The sequence below is a fragment of the Homo sapiens genome, chromosome 5, assembly GCF_000001405.40.
Source record: "Homo sapiens chromosome 5, GRCh38.p14 Primary Assembly".
In the NCBI taxonomy this organism is placed as follows: domain Eukaryota; kingdom Metazoa; phylum Chordata; class Mammalia; order Primates; family Hominidae; genus Homo; species Homo sapiens.
This window is the reverse complement of record NC_000005.10, coordinates 124,986,451-124,999,328: the sequence shown is the minus strand read 5'-3', so window position 1 is coordinate 124,999,328 and position 12,878 is coordinate 124,986,451. Positions and strand designations below refer to the sequence as shown.

The following is a 12,878-nucleotide window of genomic DNA, read 5'->3' as shown; positions in this document are numbered from 1 at the left end:
AAAATGTATGCTTATGAGCTGGGTGCAGTGGCTCAGGCCTCCAACCCTAGCACTTTAGGAGGCCAAGGTGGGAGCCCGACTTGAGCCCAGGAGTTCAAAACCAGCCTGAGCAGCATAGCCAGGAGACCTCGTCTCTATGAAAAATAAAAACAGGCCAGGTGCAGTGGCTCATGCTTGTAACCCCAGCACTTTGGGAGGCCAAGGAGGGTGGATCACCTGAGGTCAGGAGTTTGAGAGCAGCCTGACCAACGAGGTGAAACCCCACCTCTAGTAAAAATACAAAAATTAGCCAGGCGTGGTAGCAGGCACCTGTAATCCCAGCTACTTGGGAGGCTGAGGCAGGAGAATTGCTTGAACCGGAGAGGCGCCGGTTCCGGTGAGCTAAGATCATGCCATTGCACTCCAGCTTGGGCAACAAGAGCAACACTCCATCTCAAAAAATAAAAATAAAAACAAAATTATCCAGGTGTAGTGGCATGCACCTGTAGTCCCAGCTACTTGGGAAGCTGAGGTGGGAAGATCACTTGAGCCCAGGAAGTCGAGACTGCAGTAAGATATGACTGTGCCACTGCCCTCCAGCCTGGGTGGTGACAGAGCAAGATCCTATCTCAAAAAAAAAAAAAAAAAAAGAAGAAGTTTGCTTAAGCAGTTGTGTATCAAGTAAGAATTGTGCTTATCACAAAAGTCACACAATTTTATCAAGTAACTGAGATCAGTATTCAGTATGCAGTTATAGAAAATGGAAGCTCTGGGGGTTCTGTCTCTTGGCTTTGGAGTGCCCTCCCTCTGTCTCTGTACAGAGGAGCTTCTTCTATCTTTCTTCCCCCTTCTTTATTGCCTATTAGACTCCCTGCTCCTTAAAACTACAAAAAAAGAAAACAAGAAAGAAAATGGAAGCTCTGTGTCACCAATTTAGAGTTTAGTGTTTGCCAAGAGAACTGTTCCTTATTGCAATGACAATAAAACCCCAAACCAAAAGGAATCTAGCTGGATGGAGCATAGTTTTGGAAGTTCATCATAATCCTCTGGAGAATTTTTACTAAAATTTTTGTCGAAACCATAAATTTCCAGACCCCACTGCAAGACGTTTTCATTCAACACATTTGGGTTGATACCTGGACATCTGTACTTTACAATTTTGATGATCATCCACTATGGGGACCTGTAAGTTAAGCCACAATCTGCACCTGAAAAATTTTCAAAATTCACCTACTCAAAGACAGAATCTGAAAATGAAGTTTTGTTTGCTTATTTGGGACACATAGTGCTACTCATTTTATTGAATGATAGAATGTTGGTGCTGAAAGATTATCTCGTCAAAAAGAAAATAAACAGATGAAACAACCAAGGCCCAGAAAGTGCCCATTATCCACAGAAAGCCCAATTCTCCTACACTTTCCTCACCACACTGCCTGCATTCCATCTGGACATTACTTGAAGAATGTGTTTGAATATTTTCCACATGTAATGTGTTTTCCTTACTATGTTTCTATTTATCCAATTTCTACCTATTTTCAGAATGTAATCAAAACAGCATCTACAGATACATATACAACAAATACATATACATACACAGCAAATACACATACAAAAGAAAAAAGAAAAAAGGGAGGGAGGGAGGAAGGAAGGGAGGGAGGGAGGAAGGGAGGCCAAAGAAAAGGGAAGGTAAATATGGCAATGACAATTCATCAACTTTGCAGCGATGCAGTTGAAATGGTGCTAAGCCCTTGAGAGTCAGAGCAAAAAGAGACAACTAGACCATAAGCTTCAGTGAAGGTACGTGGCATGATTTCTTTCTGATTATTTTCCTTCTTGTATTAAGCCATGCACTGCTCAGTCAATAATTAATAGCTATGACCTGTAATCCTGAAGCCAAACCACATTAAACTTTTATTCCATATTACTCAGGACCTGCAAATTTCAGGAGGAAATGTAGATGGTAACTAGGATTATGGAGAAAACAAAATGACCTATGGCTGTGAGTATGTACTATCACATTGGTAAGGCATTCCATCACAGTTGAACAAAGATGATTAAAGCTGTCCTAAAAGGAGTTATGCTTACCCTTGTTCTATTTTTTAGATCTAATAGCCAAGCCTGAATATACGGAGTTTCAATGTCTCTGAACCACTGTTAATCAGGTTTCCTTTTAATTTTCTCCTAAGACACTACTTAAAATTCTTCGGTACCTTCGGTTGCTCAGGCTTCATCTTTCCCATTTTTTAGGTATTTTCCCCAAAACAACAGTGGGACATAAAAAGAAAAGAAAAACAATTCAATCCTCCTCTCCTAAAAAGTACAGCTTCCCCAGTTTGTTGTGGTTGTCGTTGCTGCTGTTGTTATGACTGTCCTGTCTTTTGTGTAACTTGAATAGTTCTTGCTTTTAAAAATGTTTATCCAGGGCCCTACATACTTCCCATGGCTCCCTGCTGATAAAGCTTCAGTGTAATTAAAGTATTTATAAGAACACTGAGGAATTCAACTCGCATTATTTAGACACACAAAAGAAAATTCTTCGCATTTCCAAGTCACAATTGTGTAATCAGATGACATAGTGTCAGTTGGTTTAAGAATACCTTTACACTCAGAAAAAAAAAATGTAAAATTGCTATGTTTTCTCTTTCAATTATATGGCATTTGTTGGTGAAATTTACTTTACTGGATTGTACTTCAACTTGTATTGAATGTTTTAAACTATGTAGTCTAAAATAGTCTTGCTGGACTATATTTGTTTGTTTAATTAACCCTGGAAAATGAACGCCAATGGACAGGGGGACGCGAACTCATCACCATTCAATTAGGCCTAAAGGCAAGCTTTTTTTTTTTTTTGCTTTGCCTTTAAATGTCTTGCCCCTTGACACATCCTTATTATGGAAATAAATGTAACATTGAATAAGCTAATGCCATGCTTTTGGAATGATGACATGAAGGGGAAGAATTACAGCACACTGGGAATTTTGGTAGGAATTGATTTACAAAAGAAGTTGCCACATTTGTTTTTATTGTGGTTAAAGCTCTAGTTTGGGAAAAGACAAAAGGGCAAGGAATTGGGGAGTTTCTGGATGAATGTGGATCTAATGAAGACAGACCATTGGTTCCACAGGCCAGGGTAAGATTCCCACAGTTCTGAACAAACAGTTCTCAGCCAATAATTTCTAAGCCTTTGTTTCCCCACTTTGGAATTCTGACTACAGGCATGTTACCAAGCCAACTGGGTTCACTACAAAGACCCAGAGAACGCTTTTTATCACAAAGATCAAGACAACAATTGTGTGCCTACAAGAAAAGAACAACTAAAACCATCCAACAAGCATTAAAAGAACAATTCTAGAGATAGTTGCCTTTGAACTCCAATAATGGGTAACATTCAGTCCCGAGATTTGAATTCCAAGTTAAAAGAATTCATTATCAGTTGCCTTATCTTATAGTTATAAGAGCTGCTGGCAGCAAGTATTTTCAGCAGCATTATTTTTGTCCAATGTAATATTTTACAGTGATGTCAAATCTCATACAATAACCATATTGTAAATTGACTTTATAGACTTCGTTTTGTTTATTATAGAGTTCATCTATGAAACAGAAGAAATCTAAATTTTGCCTTGGCTTCACCCCAAACTACAAAAAGTACTGTTTTACAAGAGCTTATTCTGAAATATCACTTCCTGAACGTAGAAGTATGCTATTTGCACAGATACATTCCATAGACATACACAATGTCCAGCTGAGAAAATAAAGGATAGTCCATCTGGATGTTTCTTTCTTTCTCCTAACTGTGACCTGTGAGTAATTTCAGTTCAACACGGAAAAAAATAAATAAAACTTACATTGTTGTGTAAACATGGCATTTTCTAATGACGTGGGAACAATTTAAACTGAATCTAAGCAGACACAATAATTAAGAATACATATTCTATTTGAAGAATTTGACCACTATTATTTGTGGGGGTTCTACATATTCAAAACCTTACAAATAGCTTCTGGGATTCAGTCTTTCCTTATTATAAAATCCATGGCAAACATTTTTTTGCTTTTGTTTTTATTTTGAAACAGGGTCTCACTCTGTCACCCAGGCTGAAATGCACTGTCTCAATTGTAGCTTACAGCAATCTGGAACTTTTGGGCTCAAGGGATCCTCCTGCCTCAGCCTCCCCACGAGCTGGGACTACAGGCACATGCCACTGAGCACAGCTAATTTTTTTTGGTAGAGACAGGGTTTCATTTTGTTGCCCAGTCTGGTCTCAAACTCCTGGACTCAAGTGATCCTCCCACCTCAGCCTCCAACATATTGGGTGTGAGCCACCACACCCAGCCAAGTATTTATTTTTATGTTTTGAGTGTTCACTCTATTTTTTGTCTGCATAAGAAATGCAAGAGAATCACCTTTTAAGCCAATTATCCCGGTGGTTCATTTTGTGGAAGGATTACATGAGTCTTGCATTTGATAAAAATTCAAAATTGCTACCCCAGACCACAGCACCTTGTTTTATCTAATGAGAGTATCTTACTGCTTTTAGAAAACTTCTCAGAAACACTTTTCTTGCCAAGAAAAAAAAAAGAAGAAAGTTCTTTAATAGAATGAGTGCACTAGATTTTTGTTTTTAACTTAGATTTTAATGATCAATTTTTTCTTATATTCATGCATGCATTCCAATGCTATGCCAGCAACATTTATGCCAGAATCAATATGGAGAACTGTTTTGGCATATATAAATTAATTTCATACATGGGAAACTGTAAATTTGGCAAGTAACTTCTCCTTATTTGTAAATAATTAGATTTAGTGCATTGCCTACCAGATTTCAGATTATCGTGAAAAGAATATTTAGATGTTTTTAGGTCTACATTTAAAGACTAGCTGTTGGTGGATAACAGAAATCCCTTGATTATCAGCCAACAAAACAATTCTTAACTAAAGGCAGATTGGTATATTACGTCCATAGAGAAAAAAAATCTATAAATCAAATCTGATTTTCCCATAGATGTAATGTAATGTTATATCCCCATCAGGACCTTGATGACAGGAGACGCCACCAGGATGGTAAAGGAGGAGATACCAGCCTTCATCCTCCCACAAAAAAAGAAATGCAGACAGCCATCCACAAGCGTAAATAGCACTGAGAGGGCTCAAGGGCCTACTAAAGAATCTGCAGCAACACAGTAGAGTGAAAAAAAATAGAGAATATTCACATAGAAATGATTGCTGGTAGGCTGGGCACGGTGGCTCACGCCTGTAATCCCAGCACTTTGGGAGGCCAAGGCGGGCACATCACGAGGTCAGGAGATCGAGACCATCTTGGCTAACACGGTGAAATCCCATCTCTACTAAAAATACAAAAAATTAGCCGGGCGTGGTGGCAGGCGCCTGTAGTCCCAGCTACTTGGGAGTCTGAGGCGGGAAAATGGTGTGAACCCGGGAGGCAGAGCTTGCAGTGAGCCGAGATCACGCCACTGCACTCCAGCCTGGGCGACAGTGCGAGACTCTGTCTCAAAAACAAACAAACAAACAAAAAGGAAATGATTGCTGGTGACATTAGCATACGTGAGATACCAGGAGTCAGCTAGGAACAAAGAGGTAGAGGCTATCAATACCAATCGTGTAACAGGAACTACTCTGGTCCCCAGCAGCCTGCTCCAGAGAGGACACCAGCATCTTTTGCTACTGAGGTATCAAACAACCATTCCTGCTGGGGAACCTCAGGGAGGGAGAACCAGATGTATATTCTTCTCCCTCCCAAGAAGCAGCCACTGTTGAGCCACTTCAGGAACAGAGCTGTCACCTCTCTCAACCCCACCAGGCCCAGGTAATATACACTTCTCAAAAGAGGACAAAGAAATGACCAACAGGCATATGAAAAAAATGCTCAACATCACTAATCATTCAGCAAATGCAAATTAAAACAACAATAAATTTGACCTCATAACTGTTAAAATGACTATTACCAAAAAGGAAAAAAGATAGCAAGTGTTGGTTAGGATGTGGAGAAAAGGGAACCCTTATACACTTGTTGGGAATGTAAATTAGCACAGCCATTATGAAAAAGAATATGAAGGTTGCTCAAAATATTAAAAACAAAACTACCACATGATCCAGCAATCCCACTGCTGGGTATATATCCAAAAAGTATGAAATCAGTATTTTGAAGAAGTATCTACACTCTCATGTTTATCTCAGTACTATTTACAATAGCCAATATAGCAAATCAACCTAAGTGCCCAACAATGGATGAATGAATAAAGCAAATGTGTTACACATACATAATGGAATACTATTCAGCCTTGAAAGAAAAAGAAGATAATCCTGTCTTTTGCAACAACACATGGATGAACCTGGAGAATATTATGTTAAGGGAAATAAGCCAGGCTTAGAAAGACAAATACCATATGACTTCACTTACATACTGAATCTAAGAAAAAACTGAACTTGTAAAAACAGAGAGTAAAATGGATCGCCAGAGGCTAGGGGGTGGGGGCAATGGGGAGCTGTCGGTCAAAGAACACAAAATTTCAGTTAGACCAAAGGAGTAAGTTCAAGAGACCTACTGTACCTCATGGTGAATATAGTTAGTAGCAATATAGTGTATACTTGAAAATTGCTAAGACAGTAGATTTTAAGTGTTCTCACCACACAAAAAAAAGATAAAATGAAAAGTGTGTGAGGTAATGCATATGTTAAATAGCTTCACTTAACCATTCCACAATGTATATCAAAACATCATGTTGTACATCATAAATATACACAATTTTTACTTGTCAATTTAAAAAATAAAAGTTTTAAAAAGACTTTGATGACAAACTGTTTAGAAAAAAAAAGGACCAAAAGTTTTACATTTAAATAATGATAAACAATTTGTTTATATTCTGTACAATATAATCAGGTTTATAGACTAGCCAATCCTAATATTTTATTTAAAAGAGATATTAGAACAGGAATTATATCTGAGTTTATCAGTCAAAATTCCAGCAAGACTTAGGCCAGGCAAGTAGAGAAGAGGGAGGAAGAGTATTATTATGCCTCACACAAGAGGGAAGCCAACTGATAAATGTAATTTGTGACCTTCCTGCTTTCAGTTCCATAATTACATAGGTGTCTTCGTCCATTTTGTGTTGCTATAACAGAATATCTGAGACTGGGTAATTTATAAAGAAAATAGGTTAATAGACTTCTGAAGGCTAAGACCAAAAAGCACAGCACTGGCATCTGCATAGCTTCTGGTGAGGGCCTCATGCTGCATCACAACATGGCAGAGAAGCAGAAGAGGAGAAGGTGTGTGCAAAGAGAGGGCAAAGCACAAAAGGCAAACTTGCTTTGTAACAACCCACTCTGGTGGGAACCAATACATTCCCATGAGAATTAACCCAATACTGCAAGAAATGCATTAATCTCTTCACGTGGACAGATCCCCCATGACCCAAACACCTCTTAAAGGCCCTACCACCCCTAAATAGCACTACACTGACAATTACATTTCAACATGAGTTTTGGCAGAGATGAATCACACCCAAATCATAGCAATGGGGTGCTCTAGGCAAAGAGCTTTGGGTGTGAATGGCTGCAAGTCAAAATCTATTGCTATTATTCATACTGACTTTCAAATGTAAAGAAAATAAAGTAAAAACAATATATAAAAAATGTATTTCAAAACACTCACTCTACTTTTAGATGTTGGTAAATTTATAAATGTTTCCTGGTATTTTTGGTACCAATAATACAAAAGAGAAATTATTGAATTAGTATGTATATTGTTAGATCAATATATGTATCTATTTGATATGCATATATGTGTGTATATATCTATATGTACATATCACACAAAAACATATACAGGCAAACCTAACGCTTCTCATTTGTCTCTGAAGAGTATGAAAGAAATACGGCTACAATCAAAGTATATGTTAAGCACTAATCTTTTTGTAACATTATCTAATTTATATAGGTTGAAATATGTATGAGCCTTTGGTTTGGCCATGCATTTCTGAGGAGCTGCCATTGAGAATATAATCTTTATGGATCAATGCATAATTTATATGTCTTTAAGTGTAGTATTAGCACTTCAGATTGATATTTTTTCCCAAAAAAATGTACATATAAACTCCTCCTAAGCATATGTCAATTACCCATCTGCCTTTTGGAGTCTTTCAAAAATTAAAACAGAAAAGAAATTTAGTTTAATGCTTTGCTTTCTCTTATAGAGAAACATTTCTAATATCCAAAGGGGAAATTTCATGACGGAAAAAGTCTTACTGTGGATTTCCAACTCTAGAACTATGGTATGTCCCCAGGTAAATCATAAAGTTAACCTAGAGCTCTATTCAACTACAAATGGACCGTCTTCCCTTTTCAGTTTTCACCAGTGAGCAGGGCAGGGTGTGGCACCATAAATGGGAGCTAAGTCCATTGCTCTCTTCCCACAAGAACCACCACAGGCAATTCTTCCTTGACAATTTATGTGACTCCTGCCCTCATGGTCACAGCTCCCTGAATGGTGATCTGGGCCTGAACCAAGACAGACATCTTCACATGTCCAGCAGTCCTGGAATCAGACCAGCACATGCACTCAAGCTAGTAGATAAGAAAGTAGGAAGAAGCAGAGATGGAAGACCTAAGTGTTGATCACTGAGTTTCATACTTTAAATATATTATTTTCACTTCTCACAAGACCCCATGCTGTTTTATGATTGAAACACTGACAAGCAGAAAGAGTTAGATAATCTTCCCAATATCATCTACCCAAGGAGTGGCTGAGTAGGGATTCACTGTTTGACTCCACAGCTGCCCAGCTAATTATTTTGTCCATGCTGCTAAAGATTATTAGCTGTAAGTAGATTACTACTTGCAAGTGGGAAAAGTGCAGCACCTATCCAGTCAATTGACAGAATGGAAAATTCCTGAAATTCTCAAAAATTGAGAATTTTTTTTTCTTTTTTTTGACATGGGGGTCTTGCTCTATTGCCCTAGCTGGTCTGGAACTCCTAGGCTCAAGCAATCCTCCCTCTTTGGCCTCCCAAAATGCTGGGATTACAGGCGTGAACCACCATGCCTGGGCAGAAATGGAGGATTGGGTCTTAGATATCTCTGCATCCCTTATGGAAACTAGCTAAATGTTAATACTGTAAGTGTTCAAGAAATAATGGTTAAATGGATCATCCATAAATGGGAATATATTTTTTCAGCTTGCTTTAGTTAGAAATGGCATTAAAACAGTACATATGTGTAAATATAAGATATACAGTTAAAATTTTTGAATATGCTAGTGATTAAACAATGATGTAACACAGAAATCATTAGCTACCTGTTTTACAAATTCACAGTCCCGTGCCCCCACCATCTATTACTTTATTAAGAGATAAATAAATCCATGGGCCAACTGCACTTTTTAAAATGGCTTTGACTTTGTTGTATCTCTGAAATACAATTTAGAAGCAAATTTGTAACACTGTAGACAACATCTGGGGGGAAAAAGACTTTATCATATGTCTGATCATTTAAAATCCAAACATCAGCATAAGGAATCTGTTAATGAGATGTCAAAGCCTGTATATCTGCTTATGGGTGTCTCACGTTTGCCAAAATAAAACAAAATCTAATAATAGAAAAACTTTATGTAATGCATTACTGTTTATAAAGCATTTCCCTAAGTTTCTCAAACTAAGGTACTTGTTCTTCATAGCAGAAATCAAAACATAAACATGGTTAAGTGTCAAGTTGTGTGAAATATTTTTATATGAAAACAAATGGATCTTTGATGGATAAAAAAGGCAAAATATGTATTCTCCTTTTTTTGGCTCCTGTAGATTCATTTTTAATATACAAAAGAGAAGACCTCAATGAAATTGTTCTCTAATATGTTCTTTGGGTTTCTCCCAATCCCTCGCCTATCACGAAAGATCATGGTGAAAACATCTGAGAAAAACTACTATATATTATCCCCTTTTGTCTTCTGGAGAGCTCTATGATGTAATTGTGTTCATGCCAATTTACAGGTAAGTAAAGAAGCACTGAGAAGTTAACTTCCATCATTGTGGAGAGAAAAAGTTTTAAAGAACATTCTTATTTCCGGGAAGAATCTCCTTTTACCCCCTGCAAACTCAACTATTTATAACACATTATCAATATCCTATGTGAGATTTAAGAGTGTTCTGGAAAAAATGTATGTGAACAAGGATTGCTGTATATCAAGTGTATAAAATAGGGATAGAATTATATTCATTCTCAACCTACTTTCTCTTAACCAACTTTCCTATTAATCAATGTTCTTTCTTCTCCCTATAAAACGTTACATATTTGCTTTCTGTAAAGTATAATGAAAATCCATGGTGGTTTTCAGAGTGATCCCTGGGCCAGCAGCATCAGCATCATCTGAAAACTTGTGAGAAATGCAAATTCTCAGGCCCCACTCCAGATCTATTGAACCTAAAACTCTGGGGATGAAGCTAAGAAATCCAGATGCCAACATTTGAGAATCACTTATCTGGAAAGATTCTACTTGCACATTGTCTATACACTCTCACCTCACTTGAAAGAAACAAAAACTGCAAACTATAGACCATTAATTTGTAAGTATGTGCAAGAAAAACTATGCTGTATTTCTCAATAGGTTGAATAGCCCTTATCCCTTCATAAAAAGATTGATGGATGGATGTGTAATGTATATATATATCATTTTTCACGTTTTCCTACCTTGGCAATATTTTTGACTAACTGACCACTGCCAGGGCTCTCCCTAGATAAAAGTAGACAATAGAGAGGCGATAGATGGTAGGTAGATCAATAGGCAGGTAGGTAGATAGATAGATTGATAGAACTGTGTGTGTGTGTGTGTGTGTGTGTGTGTGTGTGTGAAGTAAGGGTATGAGCACACCTCTGAAAAATCCCTTAAGATGCACAGAGAGGGCATTCACTTTTTAAAATGTCTATATTTGAGGTATATCTTGGGAAATGAAATAAAGAAATGTGATGTTGAGAACTAAGAAAAAACAACCTGCCAATTTGGGGGCCTCAGGGTACAGAGGAGCTGGGAGAGCTGCCCCATGAGGTACTAGAAAGAGGCAGAACTCCCACCTGCCCGAAGAGATAGCCCCTATGCCTTGCCCCTTAGGCCACCTCCTGGCTATTTCTACTTGGAATCAGGACTATACCTAGTTGACTGAAGACAAGCTTTGAGCAGACTAGTCTAGATGACAACTTGTATTAGTCCATTCTCATGCTGCTATAAAGAGCAGCCTGAGACTGGGTAATTTATAAGGGAAAGAGGTTTAATTGACTCACAGTTTCACATAGCTGGAGAGGCCTCAGGAAACTGACAATCATAGTGCAAGGGAAAGTAGGCACATCCTTCTTCACATAGCGGCAGGTGAGACAGAAGTTCCGAGCAAAGGGGGAAAGCCCCTCATAAGACCATCAGATCTCGTGAGAATTCACTCAGTATCATAAGAACAGCATGGGGGTAACCACCCCCATGATCCAATCACCTCCCACCAGGTCCCTCCCATGACACATAGGGATTATGGGAACTACAATTCAAGATGAGATTTGGGTAGGGACACAACCAAACCATATCACAACTGCTCCATGGACACTTCCATCTGAGGGTACTTTAGAGACTGTCCTTGCTGGCTTCGCCCAGGCGTGCCAAGCATGTGGGTGGGATTTTTTTCCCTTGTCAATGCCTAGTGAGATGCCACCACAACTCGTGTGAATCCCCTGGAGACCCTCCATCACCATCACCATCCCTTCTCTATGTCTGCAAGAAAAACAAAAGGAGATGTGAGTAGTAGTGCCCCTCAAGGAATCACAAGCCTCTCTGTGTGTGTCTCTTCTCTCCCTCTCATCTCATCTTTACCTGTCTTAGGGATCAAGAACCCCTGCTATAGAGACAAGCTAAAATCTTTTACTGTTGGACTGAAATCCTCTTCTACAACAAATGGATATGCAACTTAGTAATTCAGAATTCAGTATGTTCTCCACAACACACTTATATTTTAAAATATAGTGAAGTCAACAGAACAAATGAAAAACAAGAGTTTTCTTCAAGTGAATGTAGACTCACTCTCTCCAAAACTAAATCTGAAGCTTTGTGTTAAGCGTTATGGGGGAGGGAGTAGGGCAGGTTGGAGAGGGGAAGTAATGGTATTTATTACCAAATGGGTACTATTTAAAGCTCTCTGCCTTTGGGCTTTTTTTTTTTTTTTTAATCTTAAATACATTCCCTTCAAAAGAACTGTAAGTGATTACACATTATTGCTTCAAAGATACCCTAATATTATTTAGTAGTTGGTTTTAGAAAAAAGCAAAAGGAAACTGTTTCTGCTAGTACTGAGTGATAGTTCAACACTATTTAACTGGGGTTTAGGGAACAAAGCCTTCTAATTACCCAGGTGTCAATCTAGTCCTCTCACATCTGGCTTCCTGTGTTACTTTCCCTCCCTTCCCTAGCAATGTAAGAAGCAGAAAAATACTTTGAGTATGAGTCTGAGGTATGAAATTTATGCCCCGCAGGATACAGTTTGGTTTAAATTGCGTAATTGATCACAGATCTAGAATTTGGCAATGTTCCTCTTTGCAGACTAGTTGCACAGGTACACAGTGGTGGGAAGGGAACAATAATTATCACCTTGCTGGTTTTGACTTACCTTTGCCCGCAAATGGATATAAAGCTGCATTTCTTGGCAGAAAATAGCCACACAGAGGAAATGAACTACAAGGGTTATGACTGGAAAGAAGACACGAAAGGGTCGAAAAAGGAAAATGTAAGTTTTATTGGAAAAATCATATGCTGCACTTCTTATCAAATCTTGAGATTCAATATCCAAAAGAACTGAAAGCAAGAACCCAAACTGATACTTGTACACCCATGTTCATAGCAGCACTATTATAATAG

At 38.3% G+C, this 12,878-nt stretch overlaps 1 long non-coding RNA gene across 2 annotated transcripts, besides 2 other annotated features; it reads left to right on the top strand.

Moving 5' to 3' along the window:
- Positions 526-726: a silencer, noted in NCBI's record as "peak5451 fragment used in MPRA reporter construct". NCBI's record gives its function as "represses an SCP1 promoter by STARR-seq MPRAs in K562 erythroleukemia cells {active_cell/tissue: K562}" and the evidence as "EXISTENCE:reporter gene assay evidence [ECO:0000049][PMID:32103011]".
- Positions 2,092-4,373: an enhancer, noted in NCBI's record as "VISTA enhancer hs1375". NCBI's record gives its function as "enhancer in: neural tube[5/5] | midbrain (mesencephalon)[5/5]" and the evidence as "EXISTENCE:transgenic organism evidence [ECO:0001131][PMID:17130149]".
- LOC105379158 (uncharacterized) lies at positions 3,191-11,764 on the top strand. Of its 2 annotated transcripts, none has more exons than XR_001742529.2 (7): positions 3,191-3,360; positions 3,563-3,779; positions 5,626-5,801; positions 8,191-8,268; positions 9,793-9,981; positions 10,326-10,554; positions 11,672-11,759. It is a non-coding gene; the product is annotated as an uncharacterized LOC105379158 (long non-coding RNA). The 2 variants fall into 2 exon arrangements; XR_948728.4 differs by having other exon boundaries at positions 3,233-3,360; positions 5,623-5,801; positions 11,672-11,764.
- The last annotated feature ends 1,114 nt before the right edge of the window (positions 11,765-12,878 follow it).